Consider the following 25,274-nt stretch of genomic DNA (forward strand, 5'->3'; position numbering starts at 1 on the left):
ACAGAAAATTCAGATTGAGAGAATCCAGACCAGTCTGAAATTTAAGGTTCATCTGGATTACCCTAGTTTTTTTTTTTTTGAGACGGAGTCTCGCTCTGTCCCCCAGGCTGGAGTGCAATGGTGCTATCTCAGCTCACTGCAACCTCCACCTCCCGGGTTCAGGCAATTCTCCTGCCTCAGCCTCCTGAGTAGCTGGGATGACGGGCACCCGCCACCACACCTGGCTAATTTTTTGTATTTTTAGTAGAGACGGGGTTTCACCGTGTTATCTAGGATGGGATCACCCTAATTTTAATCACCTTATGGTTAATTTGATCCCACACAGAATTACAAACTACATATTCCAAAAAAGTCAATCAAATAACCAATAGCCTGAAAAAAGGTATCCCACATTTAGAAACTGTCTGAGGGGAAAAAAATTAATCCTTTGGGGTAGATGTTTTAGTGGCTCCCCATCAATAAACAATGAAACAATTGGTGAGGCAGGAGATACTGTGTAATGACTTTTGTGTGATGATAAATTTCTAAAAGGGGTTTCATTTCCTCTATAACACTTGAATTTATTTTATACACAAAGGTTTTGTATAAAACGGCCATAGACATTCACCAAATCAAAGTGTTAAACTTGGGCAAACATATTAACTTTTAAAAAAAGAGAAGCATAAGGAAAGAAAATACATACCTGAAATCACTTATCCAAAACCCTCAGGGTCCAGAAGTGTTTTGTAATGTAAGGCTTTTTGAATCTTGGAGTGATAATGAGATAAATTATATCAAATCATACATAAGATACCCTGTGGGGTGTGGGGCAGCACCCTGTAATGAAACAAATTGATATTGCTTCAGTGAAATGTGTGAACATTCACAATGATTGTGATCAATGGAGATTAAAAATAGCCTCAAGTCAGTTGAGGACAAGTTTTGTTGCCAAATGAGTTTACGTCAGGTCAGGTTTTGATGCCAAATGAGTTATGAAAAGTCTTTCATTTATCAAATCTCTTTGGACTTCCAAATAGGTAGAAAAGGGATTGTCAACCTATACTGCCTCATGCAATGGCTAACATACTTTTCCCTCTGCTCATTGAATGCAGCTGAAAATATGCACTGTTCAAAAAAGGAAATAGATGAATTAAGAAGTGTCGGAGCTACAAGAAGTTAGCAAAGAAAAACAGAAATATTTGGGAACATCTGCCTTTCAACAGAATATTTTTACTGTTTCTAGTAAAAACAATAAGCTGAATGGATGGAAAAACTGACCTGAGATATAGTGTGATGGTGCATTGTTGGCACAAATATGGGCAATTAGGAAAAAACTTCACACAATAGTGGAACAAGAATGTGAAATGGGGAATAATGTTCTATATACGGGCTGTCTAGCAACAATAGGTATTTTTTAAAGAAAGACTTCAGGCCTGGCACAGTGGTTCACGCCTGTATTCCCAGCACTTTGGGAGGTGGAGGTGGGTGGATCACTTGAGGTGAGGAGTTCGAGACCAGCCTGGCTAACATGGTGAAACCCTGTCTCTACTAAAAATACAAAAATTAGCTGGGTGTGGTGGCAGACGCCTGTAATCCCAACTACTTGGGAGGCTGAGGCATGAGAATCGCTTGAACCCGGGAGATGGAGGTTGCAGTGAGCCAAGATTGAGCCACTGCACTCCAGCCTGGGCGACAGAGCAAGACTCCCTCTCCAAAAAAAAAAAAAAAAAAAAGAAAGAAATACTTCAAAGGAATTAAATTTAACAGAGCTTGAGCAAAGAACAATTCATGAACCAGGCAACACTCAGAACCAGAAGAGCTAGGAAGAGTCCACCCAGAAGAGTGAGCAGCAAGCTTTTATAATCTGGACATAGAAGCAAAGTAGAGCAATCACCTGATTGGCTACAGCTAGGTGTCTGCCTCATCAGGGCTTGGCTCAATGAACTGACTGGCTATGATTGGCTGAAACTCGGCTGTCGGTTATACTTCTAAGTTAAGTTTCAGCTTGTTTACATATTAAGTTAGGTTGCAGTTTGTTATATGGGAATGCAAAGTATGGACACAACTTCAAGCTAATGCCTCGGGCTTATTTAACAGTATTATCATGTGAAAGACACAGCTGTGGAGAGGCAAAGGGTAAGGGATTTGGCATCAGTTAAACTGAGGTAAGCCTCAGCTTCCCCATCTGTGAAGTGGGGAGAGTTACAGGTTGTTGGAGGCACAAATAAAACCTGTAAAACACTTAGCATAGTGTTTGGTATATGGTTAGCAGTGGAAAAAAGAAAGAAAGCAAAAAGTTTTTACAGTCGGTAAAGGTACAAATATCTCATTCATCCAGTATGTTTAGTTGACATCAGTGATGACACTGGATTACACAGAAATGGGCAATATTCTCTACTAGCAATATGCCTCTGATGAGGCCACTCTTATGAGAAAAATACATTTGAGTGATGTCTCTTGAATAGAAATCTTGCTTCAGTTACACCTTAAAATAACATCAAAGTGACTATAGTAAATAATAAGTTAATTGTACATTTTAAAATAACTAAAAGTGTAATTGGATGATTTGTAACACAAAGGATAAACACTTGAGAGTGTGGCTACCCCATTCTCCATGGTGTGATTATTATGCATCGCATGACTGCATCAAAACATCTCACGTACCCCATAAATATGTATACCTAGTATGTACCCATAAACATTTAATTTTTTTAAAAAAGAAAAAAGAACTTTTTTTTGGTCATTGTTGTTAAGATAACTAACTTCCCCATTCTGGCCCACTGCCCTAAACTTTCCACTTTGTTTTGTGTGATACTGGGTTTTGTATCAACCAGTGTAGAAGCCTCCAGAATTTGGCTACATCTGGGTTCAGAAAACTATTTTCTTCTCCAGTTTTCTGAATGAATCTTATTTCTTGGTTGTCATATCTCATAACTCACATCCTTCTACGTAGTGAATTTTGGGCTTTCTCTTTCCCCTTCATCATAAAGCTACATACCTGAAAGACAGCGAGCCATTCCTTTTTATCACTTTTCCTCAATTTTCACTATAAAACTAATTCACATACTTGGTTGAATTTTTTTTTTAAAGAACATAGATGTGTCTGTGAGCACACACGTGTATGTGTGAAGTAAACAAGTAAAAGGAAAAAAATCTATCATGAACTTCCACAGGTTCATTACCTCAACTCCACTTTCCAAAGATAATTGATGTTAACCATTAGGCCTGTGATCTTCCAAACAACTTTTTAGGTATATCCATAACCGTTCACATTCTATGTGTTAGGGAGAAATTTATTGTTGAAGATTTAGTAAAAATAAAGTAATTATATACATACTGTTCTGCAGCTTGGTTTTTTTCATCTTTAACAATGTACTATGGACATCTCATATTGTTACAAATATAACTTTCCCATTTTTGTAGTAAGTCGTATTCTTTAAGCATAATTGTGTATAGTCATTAATTTATTCATTTACTTAAGTAATAGCTGTTGATCATAAAAATGAGGAAAATATGTGCTAGTTGCTGTGGAAAATACAAAGTTGTAAGAGACATAGTTTTTGCCTATTGGATTCTTATTATAATCTGGAAAAATAAATAAGACAGGAAAATATATAACAATGATATTAAGTAGTATAAGTCAGAAGAAAGTAAATTAACTTTTAAAAAGCTGACCAGGACGGCTTTTTAGGAGATTTGGATTTGTACTGAGATGAGAAAGATTGATTGGATTTCAACAAATGTAAAAGAGGTTAAAAAAAATCGCATTAGTGAAATCTTCAAGGGAAGAAAAAATAGGACATGTTTAAAGGAAGGTCACCTCATTTTGTCAAATCCAAATGTACTGATTGTAAAACATCTTGATTTCAGAGATATTAAAAAGTGGGAGGGAAATGTTCAAGTTAAATCAAGAAAATATAGTATTTGGTCAATTTGATTGGAGTGGCAGATTTCCAGAAGGTGGAACCGGTAGCTAAATCTGGAACAGTAAGTAGAGCCAGACAATGGGGAATCTTGAATGCCAGGGTATATCTGATATTTTCTGTTTTTATTCTTTTTCCAGATATTTCTTTTTTATTAAAAGCTGTTAGAAATTAGGATGAGACCAGATAACCTAACCTTAAAAACTAAGTCGGCCGGGCATGGGGGCTCATGCCTGTAATCCCAGCACTTTGGGAGGCCGAGGCAGGTGAATTGCTTAAGGTCAGGAGTTTGAGACCAGCCTGGCCAACATGGTGAAACCCCATCTCTACTAAAAATAGAAAAATTAGCCATGCGTGGTGATGTGCACCTGTAATCCCAGATACTCGGGAGGCTGAGGCAGGAGAATTCCCTTGAACCCGGGAGGTAGAGGTTGCAGTGAGCTGAGACCGTGCCATTGCACTCCAGCCTGGGTGACAGAGCAAGACTCCATTTCAGGAAAAAAAAAAAAAAAAAAAAAAGAAAAGTCTATATTCTAGAGTTCTTATTCAAATGATGTCTTTAAAACTATTGGTACATTGTGGCAGGCTCTTCCATTAGCTGTTTCTTTCATAAAAAAGTTAATATTTTAAAAATTAATTTACTCATGTGTTATTTCATGTGCCCAGTATTATGCTAGGCACCAGGGTATCAATAGTGAGCAGGACACATTCTTAGTTCCCAGTGCTCACAGCCTGGTTGACAGACTTTCCAGCACCTTCTCCTCACTTCTCAGACATCATCAGCGTCAAACTTTGCCTGCCTATCAACCATTAAAAAAAAACGTCACCTAGACATCACCTTCTGCTGCTTCGGCCTTGTTCCTGGTTTGTGGTTATGATTTCCTGTTTGCCTTGCTGAACTATGATTTCTTGAAATCCCCATGCCCTTTCTTAACTCGTAGGTGACTTTTTTTTTCCCCACTGTACTTTACTTAAAGCAGAGCTATTTACAAATGAACTTTCATTTTTGTCATAGCATCTTCATAATTATTTTCTAAAATTAGAAAAAAAGTAGGTTTTTAGATTCCCTTGGTGTTGATGAAGACAACTGCAATGAAGATGCTGTTGTGGACTTAGAAATATGCTAAAATCCACCACAAAAAGTTTCCTTTTATAAACACACATGGAGAAAATCTCTATTTGGGACAGAATTTGGCATGAAGCTCTGCATTCACACTTAAGATTTTTAGTTTCCTTGAGAAATTGACCCCTCTAGTGTTGTGAAATGTCTCTCTTTATCACTAATAGTATTCCTTCTCCTAGAGTCTACTTTGTCTCATGTTAATACAGCTATTCTAGTATAGTAGCCAGCCTTCAGGATAGTCCCCAATCATCCCTACTTCCCAGTATATAGACCTTTGTGTAGTCTTCTCTCACATTGTACCAAAGTTGGTCTGTGTGACCAATAAAATATGGCAAAAGTGATGTTATTTCACTTCTGAGATTAGATTACAAAAGACTATGGCTTCTGTCACAGCTCCTGCCCTTGCCTCTCTCTCTCTCTCTCTTTCTTGGATCACCTCGGATCACTTCCTCTCAGGGAAAGTATGTCATAAACAGCTCTGCGGAGAATCTAGGCAGCAAGGAGCTGATGCCTCCTGCCAAACACCACATAAATGGGCTTGGATGCAGATCCTTCAGACTTGGCCAAGCCTAACTCCTAGATAATGAGAGACCTCGAATCAATACCTAGCCAAGCCACTCCAGATTCTTGACCTACAGAAACAATGAGGCAATAAATGTATGTTGACCACCCACATTTGGTGGTTGGTCAGGATTCACAAGACTCACAAGAAGGCTATATTCACAGCTACAGTTTATTATGGCAAAGGATACAGCGAAAATAGCAGGATAAATATTTTTACTGGGCGGAGTCCAGAGAGGACCAGTATAGGCTTCAGAGTCCTTCTTCATTAGAGGCCACACAGGATGTACTTTCTCTCTAGCAGCAACTTACAGAAACATTTGTGAAATATCTCTACCTAGGATCCAAAGAATTTTTGGTATGCTGGTCACATAAGCATATCTTGCTATGCAACCAACTATGGCAACTGAAATACAGGACTCCAAGAATGAAGCCAGGTGCACATCATTAATCTTGATACTTATACAAAGCAACCTGAAAAGCTAGTATAGCACAGTCCATTGCTTCAGGTGTACACAACAAAATCATCAGTCCCTGACATCCAAGAGCCATATTCTTAGTGATTGGCAAAGGATCAATCATGGTTCTAGGTTCTGTTGGAGCCATGCAAGGAATATATGACCACACCTGCTCTGCTAACTCTTTCCTCACAAAATGTGGCCAACAGTCAGCACTAAATGCAAAATATATAGATAAATGAGACTTTAGATAATTCCAGCCCCCAGACTTCAAGTCTTCCAGCTTAGCCCCCAAGCACTTTAAAGAAGAAACAAGGATTCCCCACTGTGTTCTGCCAGGATTCTTGACTCACAGAAACTACATGAAATAAGAAATGTTTATTGTTTGAAGTCACAAACTCTTGGGGTAGTTTGTTATACAGCAATAGATTAATATACAGGGTAATATTTTCCTATTCTTTGCATGTGTGGCAATTTTTTATTGAATGACCAATATGAATTTTATATTTTAGGAAACTGGAGTTTGTTGTATTTCATTGAACAGTACTAGGCTTTTGTTTCATTGCTAGCTAAGTTACAAGTAGAATCCTCTTGAGGATTGCTCTCAAGTTTGTTAGGGTGGGTCCAGGACAGTCTTTATCTTAGGGCTAACTTATATCTACTACTAACCTGATAACAAGCCAGGTGCAGTGGCTCACCCTGTAATCCCAGCACTTTGGGAGGCCAATGTGGGCAGATCACTTGGGGTCAGGAGTTTGAGACCAGCCTGGCCAACATGGTGAAACTCTGTCTCTACCAAAAATACAAAAATTAGCCAGATATGGTGGTGTGTGCCTGTAATCCCAGCTACTCGGGAGGCTGAGGCATGAGAATCACTTGAACCTAGGAGGTGGAGGTTTCAGTGAGCTGAGATCGTGACACTGCGCTCCAGCCTGGGTGACAGAGTGAGACTGTTTCTCGAAATAATAATAATAATAATAATAATAAAACTGATAGCTGTCTACAGACTATTTGGAGGATTGGTAAACTTTTTTGGTAGTGGACACATAGTAAATATTTTAGGCTTTGCAGGCCACACACTGTCTGTTGCATATATTTCTTTGTTTTTTCAATCCTTCAAGAATATACACATCATTCTTAGCTTGTGAGCTGTTGAAAAAGTCTGTGGGCTGGGTGTGGCCTGTGAGCTGTAGTTTGCCAACACCTGATGTCCTTTGCATTAAGAGGTCTTTCTATTCTGGCTGAAAGGACAATTAACTAGTCCAAGCCTTGTGTAAGTTCCAAACATTTTTCTGCCTACTCATTCTCATGGTTCTTTCCCCAGCCTTGGGTGGTTTCCTCTCATGCTTGTCCAGATTAGCACTCAGTCAAATACCTGAAGGGACCTCTCTGTAGATTTCCCAGGCCCTGAAGCTCCCTCCTTGATGGTACTCAGGGTTACAAATCCTAAACACCTTAAGCGCTCTGAACTCTGATCTTTCTGTACTCAGTGAGACTGCAGATTCCTTCTGGGTTCCCCCTTCCAGTGCTGTTATTTTCTTACATATAGTTACTCCTCTGTGTTGGTTCCTATCTATACCGAACATAAATTTCTAACAGAAACTGTTTTGTTCTACTTAATGTCTTCCTTGTTAAACACAGTACCATATTAACACATATGCAGATCATCATCGTGCCATTAACAAAAGCTATATCTCAATGGCCACAAGATTTCTAGTTGAAACAAATCTTAAATGATCTATCTGATCTTAGTCCAATTGTAAGCTTTCCTAGTTGTAAACATGTACCTTTGAGGGTCATACTCTACTTTTAAGGTAGCCCATTTCACTGTTGGACAGCAATAATTATCAGAAAATGTACTTCATAATGAGCTAAAATATAATTCCTTATCACATGGACTTTTCAGTTCTTATTAAATTTATGTTTAACCTAAATCTAGAGGACCTTTTCTTACCAATTGCTGTTAACCCTTGTTGTGCATTATTGATTCAGTCTGTGAATGTCTTGAGTGTCTTCTCTGTGCCAGGCTCTGTGCTGAGTTTGGGCTTGTGGAGGTGAGAAAAGGGAGGTAATGAATGGGCCTCATGCATCTTTCAGCTTGGTGGGTTATTTAGAGAGAAATCTAAGCATGCAAATATGTGTAAAAGTTACAATGTGGTATGTGCCCTGAAGAAGCATAGTGTGATGACACTAGGTATAGGAAGATTTGTCCTAGTCAGGGAAGTTAGGGAAGACATTCTTGAGGAGCTAATGATTTGAGATCTGAAAGCAAAGTAGGAGATAATCAGACAAAATAAAGATGAGAGATTTTTAGGAAGAGGGGTCAGCCTGAATGAAGGTACTGGGGTGAAAGAGAGCAACTGTTTTTTAAATCTAAATGTAGGACTTTCAGATAACCCTGTTAAATACTCACTCAATGAATACACTCAATCTCAGAAATATCACTCTATCACCGAAAACATGTTTCTGATATTTTTGGTGTACTTGTAGAAGCAGATTTAATTCCAATGTAAGAAAGCATTTTGCATTGCTCTTTGGAAAGGTATTATTGTCCCTACCTCAGGTTTTGTGGGGCCAGAAGCTTATACAGGGCCCCCACTCTGGGGGCCCTTTTAAAGAAAAAAATGTAAATGATACATACAAAATTTAGCACAGGGCCTGGAAGAAGGCCTTGGCAGTGAGAGGCACCAAATGAAACGTTTCATTAGGTTCAGGGTAAAAAATCTACCTACTGTCTTTAGAGATTTGGACAAAGGGTACATGACCATATGTTGGTGACGTAATGAAGAGATTTCATATTGTATAGAAATTTGGACTTGATAGACCTGTAAGTTTCCTCCAGATTCAAAGATTTTGTGTTTACTTAGCTTACATTTGAGAATGGAATAGGTCAAAGTTAGCCTCCTTGCATTCTTGGCCCCCTGCCCCTACTCAGCTAGTTTGTAGAATTAATTATCTGATGGCCAAACAATGATGGGGTGTTGGCTGGATGCGGTGGCTCACATCTGTAATCCCAGCACTTTGGGAGGCCGAGGCAGGTGAATCACTTGAGGTCAGGATTTCAAGACCAGCCTGACCAACATGGAGAAATCCCGTCTCTACTAAAAATACAAAATTAGCTGGGCATGGTGGTGCATTCCTGTAATACCAGCTACTTGGGAGGCTGAGGCAGGAGAATCGTTTGAATCCAGGAGGTGGAGGTTGCAGTGAGCCGAGATCATGCCATTGCACTCCAGCCTGGGCAACAAGAGCAAAATTCCATCTCAAAAAAAAAAGAAAAAGAAAAAAGATGTGGTGTTTGGGACTGTGTGGGTGTTGGGGATAGTAGGGCATATACTTTAGACTATGAAGTAAATGAATCCTAATGTTAAATGCCTGGCTTCCACCTCTAGTCAATTGTTTTGTTCTAGCACTCACATCTCAAGTCATAGAATGAGAGCTAAAATGTCTTATGAATCAAAGGCTGGGTTTGAGTCACATGCCAACCAATGTGTGCTCATGGAGAACACCTCAGTGACAGCCCAGAGACAGCACCTCCAGCCCACCCTTGACTATTCACCTCACACCCGACTCCTCTGTCCAGAGGAGGTTTGAGGAGAGGGGATGGATGTTGTAGTGCTATCCATCATCCCTGCTGTGTACATGCATTATGGTGCTTACATTGCACCACTGTGAGAAGGAAAAGAGTGCGTATTGTGAATGAGGACTTCCTACCCCACAACAAAAATAGAATCTTTGCAGCCAATTATGTGCTGAAGCATTATTATAAAACAGGAAGAATCCTAACAACAACAAAAGATTAAGAGCAGCACTATGTATGTATGAGTACTTCTGCATTCCCAGAGCAGTTGTCTGGACTGATTATAAAGCTCTTAGCAAACTTTAATTAGCGCTCACAGGTTGGTGAGTTACATGGCTAAAGTTCTTGCTAGTGTGGTCACCAGAGAAGTAAACTCAGGTGAGGTTAAATGGTCAATTCATGGACACCTGGCCATGCTCATCTGTGTTTGCTTTTCCAGTTTGTCAGGTTCTTTGGAATCTGACTTGTTAGCAGCTCTGCCAGGCCCCATCCCCTTGCTTGCAGGTGCTCACGTCTGAAGATAATGTGTTAATCATATCAGCTCATGAGCCTGGGGTTCAGCCACACCAAGTCTGGACCTGCTGGCTTTCTTTGGAGTCAATCTGCAAAGGACATCTCCGAGTCCAGGGATAACAGTCCTGGAGTCAGTAGATTGTGTCTGAGCTCACCTGCCAGGCATGATGTGGAAACAAGGACACTGCTTTTCAGTAGGCAATAATTGACTTCAAAGGGCTCCAAGTTGGTTTAAGATTTTTCTGCTTTAACATTTAGGAACAGTGGAAAAACATACTTTTGTTATTTGTGTATTCTTAGAAATGGCTAACACTTCTAAGAAGATGGGAAAATTTTAAGGCTATTAAGGAGACAAAAAATGAAATCCCCTTGAAGATACGTAAAGACCTAGCGCTTCTCTGTCCTGTGTGTCTCCCACCCCACCCAGGCTTATAGGGTATCTTTGGTTTGCGCCCCATGAAGACACATGTGAGTTCTATCTCAGGCAGGGGCTCTGGGATCAATGGTGGGCGAGTGAGTTTGTTTACCCTGGATTCAGCCTCTGCTCCTTAGGAATTTCTCAAACATTAAGTTTCCTTTAATATTATCCATTCATCAATATGCTGATACAAATCTACTTCAAATCTATATACATTTTTTTTTTTGGTCCAGCCAATAATTGAGAGAAGACTAGAATATTGACTATTACCTATTAGGCAAGGGTTGATTGTCTTTCATGTATCCTAAAGCAAGGCTTCAAACTTCACAAGTTTTCATCAGGCCTGGCACTCTGAGGTTTGGAGGAAACAGCACCTGTCTACCCAGACTTTATCTCATAATTTCCAAAACTGCAGTTCTGTTCCTTCTCTTTCTCCTGGTCCCTTCTGTCCTCATTTCTAAGTCCCTTCTTTCCCTTCAAATTTTCATTCTCTCTCTAGGCCTTTTCTTTTTATCTGATGTCTTTTTAAAATTATTCATATCGGGTTTTTACATAGTCATTCATCTTTCACTGTGGTTTTTGTTCAAGGATACTCTGATGATTTACTTTTATGCTTTATAAAAAATGTTTTGTGTATAAAAACTCACAATTTATGACTTTTTTTTGGTCTCAGCAGCTAATTGAACTGATAGATTTAGGAAAGAATTAACAACAATTCCTGGTGTTTTTCTTAACTTTTAACTAATAGCTCAGAATCCACCTTCCCATAGGAGAAACTTTTTTTTTTTTTGCTTAAATTCCTCATTATTCTTGTGTACATCAAAGCTCATTTCTCTGTCTCCTTGCAGGGTCCAGTCATCTCTTCCTTTCTCATCAGTGAGTTGGTGGCTCCACACCTAGAAAACCTTAAAGTTTGCAATAATACCAACAGGTTAAATAAAAGAGTTGTCCTGAGACATGGGCTTGGTGAGGGGAGCCTATGGGATAACTCTTACTTTTCTCTACTCCAGGCATAATCTCAGGACACTGCACCACAGGTGAAAGCTGCCTGGTTAGTGGATTAGTCAGCTCAGGCTGCCATAACAAAGCACCACAGACTGAGTGTCTTAAGCAACGAAAAATTATTTTCTCACAATCCTGGGAGATAGAAGTCCAAGATCAAAGTGTTAGCAGGGTCGGTTTCTTCTGTGGTCTTTCTCCTTGGCTTGTAGACCGCCATCTTCTTTCTGTGTCTTCACAGGGTCTTCCCTCTGTGCCAGTCTGTGTCCTAATCTCTTTTCATAAGGACACCAGTCCTATCAGATTAGGACCTACACTAATGACTCATTTTAACTTAACTACCTCTTTAAAGACCCTATCTCCAAATACAATCATATTCTGAGATACTGGGGATAGGGGGTTCAACATGTGAATTTTGAGGGGGACACAATTCAGCCCATAACAGTATATTAAAAACTCCTCATCTAGACACCATATTTCCAGCAACAACCAAGCTCCCAAGCACAGCTCTAGCCTACAAAGTCTGTGGAGAAGGTGGGTTATACAGTCCCATCAGGGTCAGAGGTTGCAGCTCCCTCTCTTATGTTACAGATTCTTCATAACAAATGTAAACAAGCTGCTTATCTGATTCTCCAAATAGCAGCAAACCAGTGTACAGAGTAATCACCAACCAGAAAAAGCTCAGCTGCAGGGGGCAGGCAGATGTGCCAACAGCAGCAGGAAGTGACTTCAGCATCGAACGGGCAGCAGACAAAACCTTAAATGGGCAAAACTGTATTGTCAGTTACCATGTCACATAATGAGAGCAGAGAGTAACAATACTTCCGAATTTGTCAACAGGAGGTGACGTTATTTTTAAAAACCTATAATAGAAGGCTGTGGAAGTTTTCTCATTAAATACTGTATAGACAAAATTGTTTGAGTATTCGAGGGTGATACACTTGTTATTAGGGTAATTTACCTATGTAAAAATGAAAATATCCAAGTTCTGCTGGATAAATGCTTCTTTCTGTATATGACAAAGTCCTGCTTGGACGTCATGAACTTTGCCATAATCCTGGCTCTGAGGGTGGGGGCTTTCCTGTCAAGATGGCCCTAAGGTTTAGACTGACCTCCCACAGAGGTTCAACAAGGAGTCACTCAGATTCACTAACAGTTTTCAAAAAAGATGTTTATTAGACAACTTTCCACTGAAACCATACCCCCTGTAGTGCACAGTTAATTAATATTTTAATAACTTCTAAAATGTTATGAAGATTGCAATTGTATAGCATTATATTTTGTGTATAGGTTTATTCAAAGTAGTAATATATTTAGTAAAGACATACCACAATATTTGTAATCCTGTTGTGGCATTTCCTCCTGTGTTAGTACAACAGGAGGCTTAGAAATGGGTGCATCCCGGGCATTCCTCACCTGCGAGAGGCCCTACACCTGGCCATGCGGTGGGCTCAGCTTTTGCCTCCTCTGAATAATCTCCTCTCATTTGTACATTGTGCCTCTGACCACCTTCTGTCTCATATCATAGTTATTTATGAAGCTGTTTTATCCATCTTACAAGATTGTGAGTTTAATTCCCAATGGCTACCCCCGACAGTTAATGTTAGCTTCTGTGTTGAATCCAGAGGCACTCTATTGCTATCATTCCTCTACAAGAAAAAGCCTAGCTATACCTATTTTTTTTTTTTGTATTTGTTAAACCATTTGAGGCTTTTATAGCACTTGTTGTAGCTGCCTTCCAAGGTTAGCCTCAGAATTCTTCTTTCGTCTCAGAGGAAGATTATCCAGAATGTCTTGCTGGAGAATTTGTACAATTTTCTGCAGTGATGTGCTGGCAAATTTTCAACAACTGGTTCTGATTCCTAGTGTTTGCTGGTTAAAGATGACACTGAATGTAGAATTGGGAAAAATATACCCAATTGGCTTTTGCTCCCTAAACATACTTCATAGGCTTCTAGCATGCCATTGGTTCACAGCTCAGGGATAATGAGAAAAGCTATTCTGTAAGAAATGAAGAAGCCAATTGAATCCCTTCTCTACCCACAGAAGGCAAGCCTGAAATTAATCTTCACAAAACTGTGTCATTTTCCAGGTTTGCCTTCCTCTTAGTCCTCCCCATCTAATTTCACAAGATGCTGACAAACCCTAGAATAGCTTTAAAGTCATAAGCAATGAGTCATAAATGGATCTATTCAGAAGTTTCTTAAAGGGTCACTAATTGGAAGGCAGCTAAAACTCTCAGAATTGTTACTGCATATATGCCTACTTTGAGGTTATAATTATTAAAACCCCCAAATTAATTTTTTAAAGCATTTGCTGAACTTCCTACCACTTTACATCCCCATACACTGATGACTTAGACACATGCTAAGGTGCTGTGACTCAACAATTTTTATCAGAGGCAATGGTACCACCCCCTTCCCATCCTACCTCTTTTCCCTACTTCCATCTGCTGGAGTGAGCAGATTTTAAACTTGATTAATTAGAGATTTTGTTTTGCTCTATCTTCCTCCCAGCATGATGTTTTGCTTGCAACAGATATAAAAAATATATTGAAGTTGAATTAGCTGATTTCTTGTAGTATATGAGAGTATATTTTTTCCTCTCTCTAAAGGTGCTCATAAATGTTCACAAATCCTTGCGTGAACAAGTTGAGATAATTTCTAATCTGAAGGAAACTCTTTGTCCTTAGAAGAACTGATTTTTCTGCCTTGAACAATAGAGATTGGACAATGGAGGTATCTGGCCTTGCTCTACCCCTTCCTTGTTATAGTAACAGGGATGTGGTTGTCCATCTCCACAACCATGCTCTTCGCAAAGTACCACTGCCTCAAGAGCTCCAGCCATTTAGGACCCAAATCTTATGCTTAGCCATGCTGGTTTCTGGTCCTGGAGGGTGGGAAAAATCTGAGTCTTCAAAACATATAAACCAACTAAAAAGATAATAGTGAAAAAGACAGCAAGTGTTAGGAAAGATGTGGAGAAACTGGACCCCATATATATTGCTGCTGTGAATGGGAAATGATGTAGCCACTTTGGAAAATAGCTTGGCAGTTTCTAAAAAGTTAAACATAAACTTGCCATATAACCTGCTAATTCTACTCCTGTCTAGCTACCCGAGAGAAATGAAAACATATGTTCATATAAAGACATGCATGGGAACCTTCATAGCAGTTTTATTCATAATAGCCCAAACTGGAAACCATCCAAATGTCTATCAACTGGTGAATGAAGAAACAAAATCTATCCATACAATGAAATATTCTGCAGCAATGAAAAGTAAAGAAGTACTGATACATGCTACAGTGTTGAAGGAGCTCAATAACATGACACTGAGAGAAGCCAAGGCAAAAACCTGTGTACTGTATGATTCCATTTATGTGAAATTTCCAGAAAGGGCAAATCTATTAAAAAACAGAAAGCAGAATCATGGTTGTTTTGGGGCTGGAATAGGCTATAAGTGGACACAAAAGATCTTTTGGGGGTGATGGAGAGTTGGCAAATTTCACACAACTGCCAATTTATTAAAATTCCTTAAATTGTGTTTTTAAATAGATGAGTTTTATGGTATGCAAATTATGCCTTAACAAAGCTTTTTACAAACAACACAATAAATGGAGACCTTTATTATTTCTATTTAGCTCTTGCTCTTCCTTGCCTGATTACAAATCCCGAAGGGGCTACATGTCATCCAGCTGCGTTTTTTCTTTTTACGAGTAGGTGAGGAAACTGGCTAAATATGTTGCTGGAACAGGGAGAGGTTTGGCCCAACAAAGCCAATGCATTGCCAGAATTTTCTTTAGCTGCAGGCACACTAGTCGCCTCATCTGCAGGAGAGGACATGGCTCATACCCTGCGCTTACCAGCCTTCCTTTCACGTAGGTGGCTCTGCAGGGAAATGACCAGTGTGTGCTCCTGTCCTCCTATGCATGCTGGGGGACTGTGTTGTATGTAGGGTATTGTACTGTCTTGATCCCAGGAGACAAAGGCACTCTTTGTTAAACTGGAGCTAGTCTTACCTTTAAGGATGGGATCATTTCTTTGACCACAGATCTCTTCCTTACCAAAGGATATGCCCTCACGTCAGACCAGAAAAGAATAGGAAGCCCATAGGGAACCTTCTGATTTTCAACTTGGTCTTTTGATGTTGCCTTTGAAATATACCCTGGAGCTTGCTCCAAAACTAGAACTGGAAGATGACACTTTTCATAGGGGATCAACCAGGAGTTAGGGAGATAGAAACTTTGGACAGAAGCCTGTGATATTGTTCCAGTCCTAGGGGACAACAATAAACTACTTTTTTTTTTTTTTTTGCCTATCAAATTGGCAAACTGGCAAAAAAATTAGGATGTACATACTGTTCTAATTTGGAGTACTTAGGAAATAATGGGCCTGAGACCCTAATCTGGGTGGCTTAATTTGTTTCTTGCAATACCTCTACAGAATGTTTCGCCCTGGTGGTTTAGTTCTGCCCTGTAGCTGCAGCTACCTTTCCGTTTTCACGTCTTTGACTCCCTTGTTTATACCTGATTTTTTTAAGGGTGTATTCACCCTTCTATTTTGTTTAGCTTGATTTTTTTTTATTGTGGTAAGAACACTTACCATAAGATACACCCTCCTGATAAATTTTTAAGTGCACAATACAGTGTTGTTAATTACAAGGCACTATGTTGTACGGTAGTTCTCTAGAACTTATTCATCTTGAATAACTGAAACTTTATACCTGTTCAACAATAACTTCCCGTTTCTCCCTTCCCCCAGCCCCTGGCAACTACCATTCTACTTTCCGTTTCTGAGTCTATTTTAGATACCTACTGCAAGTGGAATCATGCGGTATTTGGGCTTCCATGACTGGTTTATTTCACTTAGCATAATGTCCTCTAGGTACATCCATGTTGTTGCATATGGCAGGCTTTCCTTTTCATAAAGGCTGAATAATATTCCATTGTATGTATATACCACATTTTCTTTATCCATTCCTCCATCAAGGGACATGTAGGTTGTTTCCTTATCTTGGCCATAAATAATGAATGTGGGAATACAGATATTTCTTTGAGATCTTGATTTTAATTCTTTTGGGTATATACTCAGAAGTGAGATTGCTAGATTAAATGATAGTTCTATTTTTAATTTTTTGAGAAACCTCCATCCTGTTTTCCATAGCAGCCACACCATTATACATTCTCCCTAGCAGTGCACAAGGATTCTAATTTCTCCACATGCCTGCTCACACTTGTCTTGACTTTTTTTTTTTTTTAAAATATAATGTCCATCTTAACCTTTGTGAGGTGATACCTGATTGTGGCTCTGATTTGCATTTCCCTGAAGATTTATATTCACCTTTCTGATACTGGTGCCTGGCAATGCCTAGAACACAGCAGATGCTCACTAAATATTTGTTGAAAGAGTGGGTTAAGCCCTAAGAAACTCCATTCTCAGTACAAGCACAAATGAAGACACAATATGAGCTATCGGGGACAGGGTTACTATGACACAAAAGCAAAAGGTCTTCAGGCTGCTGGGATTTCTATCCTTCTGGTTTCATATTAAAAGGCTGACAAAAATGGCTAGGACCCAGGGACTTGGATAAGTTCACCACAGTGGAAAGAGATAATTGTTTTTAGAAGGAGTGAAATTAAAATATTTTACATATTCTTGTAAAAATAATTACAGTATCTTAAATATTTGGACTTGCTAAATGCTTGTGCTCTGGAGGCAAGCCCAGGAATTTTTTTTTCAATCCCTCTCATCCTCCAAGCCTCATCCCAAGCCTCTGCCTCCACAGCTACCTTTACTAAATGTCTGATTTATTCTAGGATAATTTTTTTCAACAAATATTTGTTGTTTCTCTCCCTCCTTTGCATGTCCATAGGTTTTTGCACTCCTTTTGCTCACTCACCCCCCTCATCCCCCATCTCCTGTGACAGCTGCTCTGCCCTTATCTAACCCTTTCTGCAGATGGAGATCTCTGTGGGAGCAGCATCTCTTTGTGTCCCATGCAGAAACTAACACTTAGGTACTAACATGTGTTTATTTGGACTGAATAATTGAATCATTTGATTAGTTTCAGAATAGTTAGTTAGGCAAGGGAGGCAACTCTGATGAAATGGCTTATTTTAAATGCCATTTTATACACTATTTAAAAATAGCTCTTCTTCCAAAAACTGAGGTCTATACATATGTGTTGTGATTCAGTTTAAAATAGAAAAGCATTTTTTCCTAAAAAACTTTCACACCAACTTTATAGTTATAGAGAGAATATTTTCAGTTGACCAAGATTATCAAAACAATGCCTAATTCCAGGAAGAAAGGAAGAAATAGTGGTGAAATTTAACCTGTTTTTAAAATTGCTGCTATGAAAATATATAATCTAGTAAATGATATTTTGTTAGTTTCATACTAGCTATAAACAGTTTCAACGGAAAGCTTTTGTTTTGTTTTGTTTAAGACAGGATCTGGCTCTGTCATTCAGCCTGGAGTGCAGGGACCTCACGGCAGCCTAGACTTCTCCAGGGTTAGCCTCCTGAGTAGCTGGTACTACAGGCCTGTGCCACCACATCTGGCTAATTTTTGCAGTTTTTGTAGAGATGGAGTTTCACCACGTTGGTCAGGCTGGTCTTGAACTCCTGGATTCAAGGGATCCACCCACCTCAGCCTCCCAAAGTGCTGGGATTATAGACATGAGCCACCACACAGACCCTGGAAAGCTTTTCTGATATCTTTCCCGTACTCCTGTTGGCATGAGTATTTCTGGAAAGACCACAGTTTTCTGCTTCCATCTAGCACAATGGAAGAAGCAACATCAATTGGGTGATATTTGCGTGAAGTGGATTCTAGTCTTGACTTTGGCAATAAATAAATGAGTGATCACGAACAAGTCTCTCAGGACCTCAACTTCCTTACCTGAATCTGTATTATGAGGCAAGTGGGCATCAGGATCTATGATCTGCAGCTTGTAGGATTTCCAGCCTCCTTCTTATTTACCAATGCCCATGGCTGAGGCTCTTGGGTTTGCTTCACTTTCTTGTTTCCTTCTATGCAGCAGCATCCCAACCACTCTCAGAAGAGCCAGAACCCAAGTTTCTGGAGGCTGAGCAATGCCCACCCAGTCCAGGATAGGAAGACTTTCTTGTCATGCTTGGGATGGGGGCAGGGAGGGGGCAGGTAAAGAGACCTAAGCACCCAGAGCAAAGACTGGAGAAGAAATTTCAGTAAGAATGGATCCTGCATGCCCAGCATCTTGGAGTGGAGGGGAAGAGAAAAAAAATGGGGTGAGAGCAGAGAAAAGTAGCTAGGCTAGGAGACCTGTGCTCAGGTTGGCTGGGCTCCAAGCCCTAGGGCTGTCAGTAGGAAGCTTGGATTCTTACACAATACCCACTCCTTTCCAATCCCCATAAACTCTAGAATAACCTCTAGCAGACTTGCTGACAGCCGATCCTAGTTTAAAAGCTCCATCACATTAGAGGCTAAGTGTAAATAATACCAAGTAAGGATTTGATCTCTTGGAGGAAAGGACAGGAGAATGTTTATGAGTCTAAAGTGGTAAGAAGCCCCCTCTCCACCCTCCCTTACCAGAGGAAGAGTCTGAGAATAGAACTGGGCCCAGGAAAAGAGGCCCATGGGATCTTTCCTTTTTTCCCCCAGTTGGAGCTCATGCAAGCCCACCTGGGCCCCACTGGATTTTGTTCCCTTGGGGATTTACCTCCATGGCTGGGCTTCACACTTCCCTTAGCCCTCATTCTTCTTTGGATTGTATCCTAAGCATCCATCCTTTTCTTTTCAGTCTGAAGGCAGCATCCTTTTAAGTTGGGAGGGGGAGAAAGTTACAAGGGGAGGCAAACAGGTGCCACAACTTCGGTTCCTGTCTGATTTTGCTTGGGATAGGCTGGGCCTTCCTTCCATTTTTTAACAGGCCTATATAAAAAACCCAACACATAAACAGGGCAGGCAGTGTTTCCCAGCATGAGATATGTCAGGTATTTTAAGGGAACACTATGCTTCTCCATTTCTTCTTAGTGCCTTGAGTCTTGCTTCTCAGCCTTGGCTGATAGCTGGGAAATATGGACCTGCATATTGCGTCTGCTTGTCTTATCTAGTATTTAATTTTTTAAAAGCCCTCCTGACAAGGCAGGTAGGATGATGTTTCCTGAAACATTCTTTACGCCACTCCTCCCACAGTTAGACTTTTTTTTCTTTTAAAAAGAAAATTGTTTAAAATATATGTCTTAATAGCTCATGACTATTAAAATCTAAGTGCTCTGCCCTTTCTGTCTAAATCCAGGATCCTATTCTCGCTTCTCCAGGACATGATTGTATTTAGAGTTAGGGTGTTGTTGAAAATGGCAACCTCTATATCACCTGGTTTTCACTTTAGGAAAACCCACAGAAAAGTTTCTCTTAGACCCAAGTGTAGAAAACCTTTTGCTTTTTTTAAAAACCAGTACATTTTTACACATGATAATGTGATTTTTGTCACAACCATGTTTCTTTTTATATTTTAAATTGATACATATTTGATATACATATTTTCAGGTATATGTGATAATTTGATACATTCATATAATCAAATCAGGGTAATTGGGATATCCTTCACCTTAAATATTTAGTTTTTCTTTATACTGGGAACATTCAAATTATTCTCGTCTAGCTTTTTTGACATGTGCAATTGATTAATGTTAACTATACTCACCCTACTGACCTATTGAATACCATTTCATGTTTCTACTCGACTATGGTAGTAATTGTGTGAAACCCCAGAGTGTGCCCTGCTGTGGACTAATTCTCATATTGGCCTTGTCTTATCAATATCTGTGTGTGTGTATGGCTTGATTTCTCTTAGTTTTGGAAAATGATGTCTCTCTAATCTGTGTATATTTTAGGCTATTCTTTCTTTCTTTCTTTCTTTCTTTCTTTCTTTCTTTCTCTCTCTCTCTCTCTTTCTTTCTTTCTTTTCTTTCTTTCTTTTTCTTTCTTTCTTTTTCTTTCTTTCTTTTTTTTTTTTTGAGATGGAGTCTTGCTCTGTTGCCCAGGCTAGAGTGCAGTGGCACGATCTCGGCTCACTGCAACTTCTGCCTCGTGAGTTCAAGTGATTTTCCTGCCTCAGTCTTCCAAGTAGCTGGGACTATAGGTGCCCGCCACCATGCCTGGCTAATTTTTGTATTTTTAGTAGAGACAGAGTTTCACCATGTTGGCCAGGCTGGTCTTGAACTCCTGACCTCAGGTGATCTGCCTGCCTTGGCCTCCCAAAGTGCTGGGATTACAGGTGTGAGCCACTGTGTCTGGCCTTCAGGCTATTTTTTTAAAAAAAGCTTTTTATTTTGAATTAATTTTTGGCTTATCAAAAAGTGCAAGCATAGAACAGAGAGTTCCTGTGTAGCCTTCACTCAGTTTTTTAAAAATTTTAATGTTGTCCTGTTGAATATGCTTGTGAAAGACACCTAAAATTCTTTTTGAAACAAGGCTCATAGTGAACACTATTTTGAACACTCAGATGTTGTGTGCATCAAAACAAATAGGATGGAAATGACTGATACGGACATCTCAGGTGGGATGATATTGGAAGGATGACCTAGCTTAACACTGAACTGATGCTGCATGTCCCAATAATTCGCTCAAAAGTGATTTGATCACAAGCAAATAGAAACCAAACAATATGTTCCAAAGAAAAGTAGCCAATAGGACAATATGGTTAAAAGTCTTAATTTATGGGAACTGGATTTAAAATATATTAGTAATTAGTATTAATCATGGGATTGAGTCACAACCCTTTATGTGGCTTTAAGCATTTTGTCCACATATCAGATTTTTCTATTTATAATTATAATAACCCTTAATTTGTTTCTGGCCAATAGAATATTAGTTGAAATTATCAAAAAGTCCAACAGTTTAAAGCTTGCTTATATATGGTTTATATTGAAAGTTATGAAGCATTGTTATGGCATGATCCTATTTTGCAGGGGGTCAGGGTTGTGTGTGTGTGTGTTTATCCATGTGTATATATGTGTATGTGTGTAGGCACATTAAAAACGACCTGAGAGGAAATTACTCAAAGTTTCAACCAGGTAGGTGACTTACAATGCCCCCTTTTTTTTTTTTGCATATCTGTATTTTCTAATTTCTTTTATTGAGTAACATTGCTTTTATACCGGGGAAAATAAACAAAGAACTGAAATAATAAAATAAAGCACGGAACAAAATATATAATTCCCAGTTTTAATAGATTTCCCTATTACTTGCTCTTTAGGTTTTAGCCAGTCCAATTTTGTTGGTTATTTAGGTTGTTTCAAATATATATTGTTGTTGAACAATTCTCTTTTCCAACTTTTCAGTATTGTAAGAAGCAAATAACATAAATAATTGACAAAAAAGGAACCAGTTGTGACAATCAGACAAAAATGCTGATGACGCAGAGAACTGCCTCACTACCTTGTGATACATACACACTAAAATTACCAACACTGAAAAACCAGTGATTGTATTCACCCATTTTCAATAAGTATTATTTGTACCAATTGTTCTGTTGACAAAGTTACTTTTAAAATAAAGTTTAAAGTAAACTATAAGTACTTTATATTTGATCAAATTATCTTTGGCAAAATTTCATTTAGCCAAATTGTTTTCAGCCAAATTATCTGCTATAGTTTGTGAATTTGAAACATTTTGACATTTCCAGTCAGGACTGAATATGCTGATAATTCGCAAAAGTCCTGAGCTGTGAAGCAAAAAGAAGGCTTTCATCAATCCTGGGGCTAGTCTACTTTCTGGAATATGTCCATTGTATAATATGAGGAATGAGAAGGGTTATATTCTGCAGAAAGTTCTACAGCATAATAACAAATGCAGTAACAGGTGTATGGCTGTGGTGGAAGCTTGGTCAAATTGAAACTGGAACAGGAATAAACCTTTACTTCATTTATACTTTAGGTGACAAGGTAGCACATTTGTACATAATAAGGCTGGCCTGGGGATGGAGGGAGTCCCTGCCCTGACTGTGACTCAGTGAGACTCTTTGCCTGGTCCTAGTCCAAGAGAAACGCATGCTATGATCTCACTGAAGTCTGAAGTGACTCTGAAACTTTGCAGTAAAAAGAAAATTTCATCCTTTAAGATGGTGAGTTACCAGAGAAGTCACAAGGATAAAATGAATGATGGAGGTTTCTGGAAGATGTTATCACCACATTCATAGCATCTAGCCTTTCGTATACATTGGGATGGAATGGGTAAGAGACAGGCTTGGGGCTCAGTCTCCTAACTGGTTAGTAACTAAAGATGCCTTGGAGAGGAGAGTTGAGAGTCCATATTTTTCACAGAAATTCTTTTTGAGCCACATTGACATTCCTAAAACACCGCACATACTGATGCTATGATTTCACGGTCATTTGGTCTCTAATACCCACAAACTTTGCCTGCCCCTAGCATAGTTTTACAGCGTTTGTTTAAAAACAACACCCCAAACTAAAACCTTACCTGCATAAACCAAGCATATCTGTGGTTTGGAAAACAGGCCAGGAGTCTAGAGTTCTATTTCTAACTATGCAGCTAACTTCCCAGGTGGACTGGAAGAAATCCTTGATTCCTTTGCTCCTTAGTTTCTTCATATTCATCCATCCTTCTGAAAGGTATTCCTTAAGTACTGGGACCCTGTGGATACAAAAATAAATAGAACCTAGCTCCTTTGTCAAGATCCTTGGAATTTAGGGGAAAAGACAAACAATAATTGAAGATTGCAATCCAGTGTGGTAAGTTTGTTGTTGGAAGTAGGCACTGAGTCCTAGGGGAGCACAGAGAAGGAATGTCAAATCAAGCTTGGAGCTGGGGAGGTGAGTCAGGGACCACATCAAAGGAGTAGTGATGTCTTCCTGCAAAGTTAAACTCTGTGAAATGAGCAGGGCTTATTAGTGGATCCAGAAGAATATTTAATCTATATTCCTATGTTAATTGAAGAGATGGTAATTTGAGGTCCCTATATAGGGAGAAGTTTTTCCAGAGCTGTAAGAAAGAAGCAAAGTACAAACAAATTTGCCTAATATATCCATGGCTGCTTATCCCCAGAGAGTGGTCTAGATCTTAAGATCTTTCTAATATGCTCCAAGAAGAAAATATTTGTTCTTGGGACATTTCTGTCACTTAATATATTTGCCTTTAGACATTTGAAGGGTATCTGGCTTTCATAAGAAGTCACAGTCACCTGTGTCACTTTCCTCTCAACAGCCCCTTTCTTTGTACATTTCCTTGTAATGCACTATGAACTCTAGGTTGAATCATTCAAGTGCTGTAATATTCACATGAAAGCAACACCAAACTTTGTCTCCATTTTTAGGTTCATGTCAAAGCTAGTTTTTCACTAAATATCTCTGGTTACCATTTGATTTGATTTTAAAATAATATTTCACTTTTCTAAAAGTCGATCTGTTCCACCAAGTCTTAACTCATTGTAGATACAGTTATAAAATCATAAGCAGACAAATAATTCTCATTTCTAGCACATACGTTGCTTTCTTCCCAATGTCCACTTTTCCTCTTCTTTTTCCCAAGAGAATTTCAATTTGATCCAGGATGGATACTAGTTAGCCAAAGTCAACCTTGAGAATTCTATTCCTTTATTCAGTGGTTGACTTAGGAAAGGGCAATTCTGGTCTCTTTGGGGGAAGTCAGCTGGCAAGCCTCTGGAAAAGGTTTCCTTCTCCTAAAAGACACACAGAAGTTGATGTTCTCTCTCCTTTTTTGGAACATTGGTGCATCTAGAGTGGCCCTGGAACCACGGCAGCCATATTGCCACCAGCTGGAAGACGAAGCCAACGGTGGGAGAAGACAGAGCTGGTCGAATCCCCCAGGAGTAAAATGCAGCCTGTAGTACCCTTCCTGGATTGTATCTTACTTGGAGTCTTCTTGTTCTGGGAGGCAATAAATTTCTTTGTTATTTAAGCCATGATGAATCAGCGTTTTCAATTATTTGCAGCCAAAAGCATCCTAAGCAATAGCCAAGTATGCATGGAAGTTCATGCACTTCTCTCACAGAACATTATGTCAGACATTTAGTTCTAGGAAACAGGCTTATCTGATTTCTCAGTTCTAGGAAGCAGGCTTATCTGATTTCCTAGTTTCTGGCAGATTAGAAATAACTTTCTCTATTCTCTAGAAATAGAGAAAGTTAGAGACAGGCAGCTGGACAGAGAAGGGAGAGACATGAAGGCAGAACCAAGAACTCAAGAGGCAGCATTGTGGGGTTATTTAATGCTGGGGCAAACAAGTTCTCCCATCTCTGTAGCTCTTGTGGGTATGAGAGCATAGTTCAGTGACTAACCCATAATGACAGTCATGTGTCTGTCATCAAAGGAAGTTTGCTTTCTGTTTACTCTGTTTCAGAAGGGGAATGAGGCTGAATAGTATGTAAAAATATTTCTTTGTAAACAAGGAAAAGCTTAAGTGATTAAAAGGATAAGCTTATCTGAAAAGGCACGTGGAGAACAAACTCACTCCCTGGCTATGCTAAAAAAATGAGTGCTAATTATATATGCAAATGAAACCTATTAAAAAGTTTGCTTCATCCAGAGAAAAGGGAAGAAAAAAAAAATGAGGCAGTAGTTTGATTGCTGCATAGAGCAGCTCACTTCAGTTTTGGTCCCCATGAGAAGCCCCAGCAGAGAAGCAAAGCTAAGAAGTGAGGACATGGTGTTGCTCTTCTGCAAGTGACTTTATTTTGGCTCAATGGCTCAGCAAG

The 25,274-nt window shown here is 39.3% G+C and overlaps 1 long non-coding RNA gene across 1 annotated transcript; it reads left to right on the forward strand.

The window, feature by feature from the left end:
- Positions 1-1,994: 1,994 nt before the first annotated feature.
- On the forward strand, positions 1,995-24,478 carry LOC124905959 (uncharacterized). The gene is made up of 3 exons (XR_007088692.1): positions 1,995-2,144; positions 22,478-22,664; positions 24,299-24,478. It is a non-coding gene; the product is annotated as an uncharacterized LOC124905959 (long non-coding RNA).
- Positions 24,479-25,274: the final 796 nt, after the last annotated feature.

This window comes from Homo sapiens, chromosome 2 (genome assembly GCF_000001405.40).
Source record: "Homo sapiens chromosome 2, GRCh38.p14 Primary Assembly".
Lineage (NCBI taxonomy): Eukaryota > Metazoa > Chordata > Mammalia > Primates > Hominidae > Homo > Homo sapiens.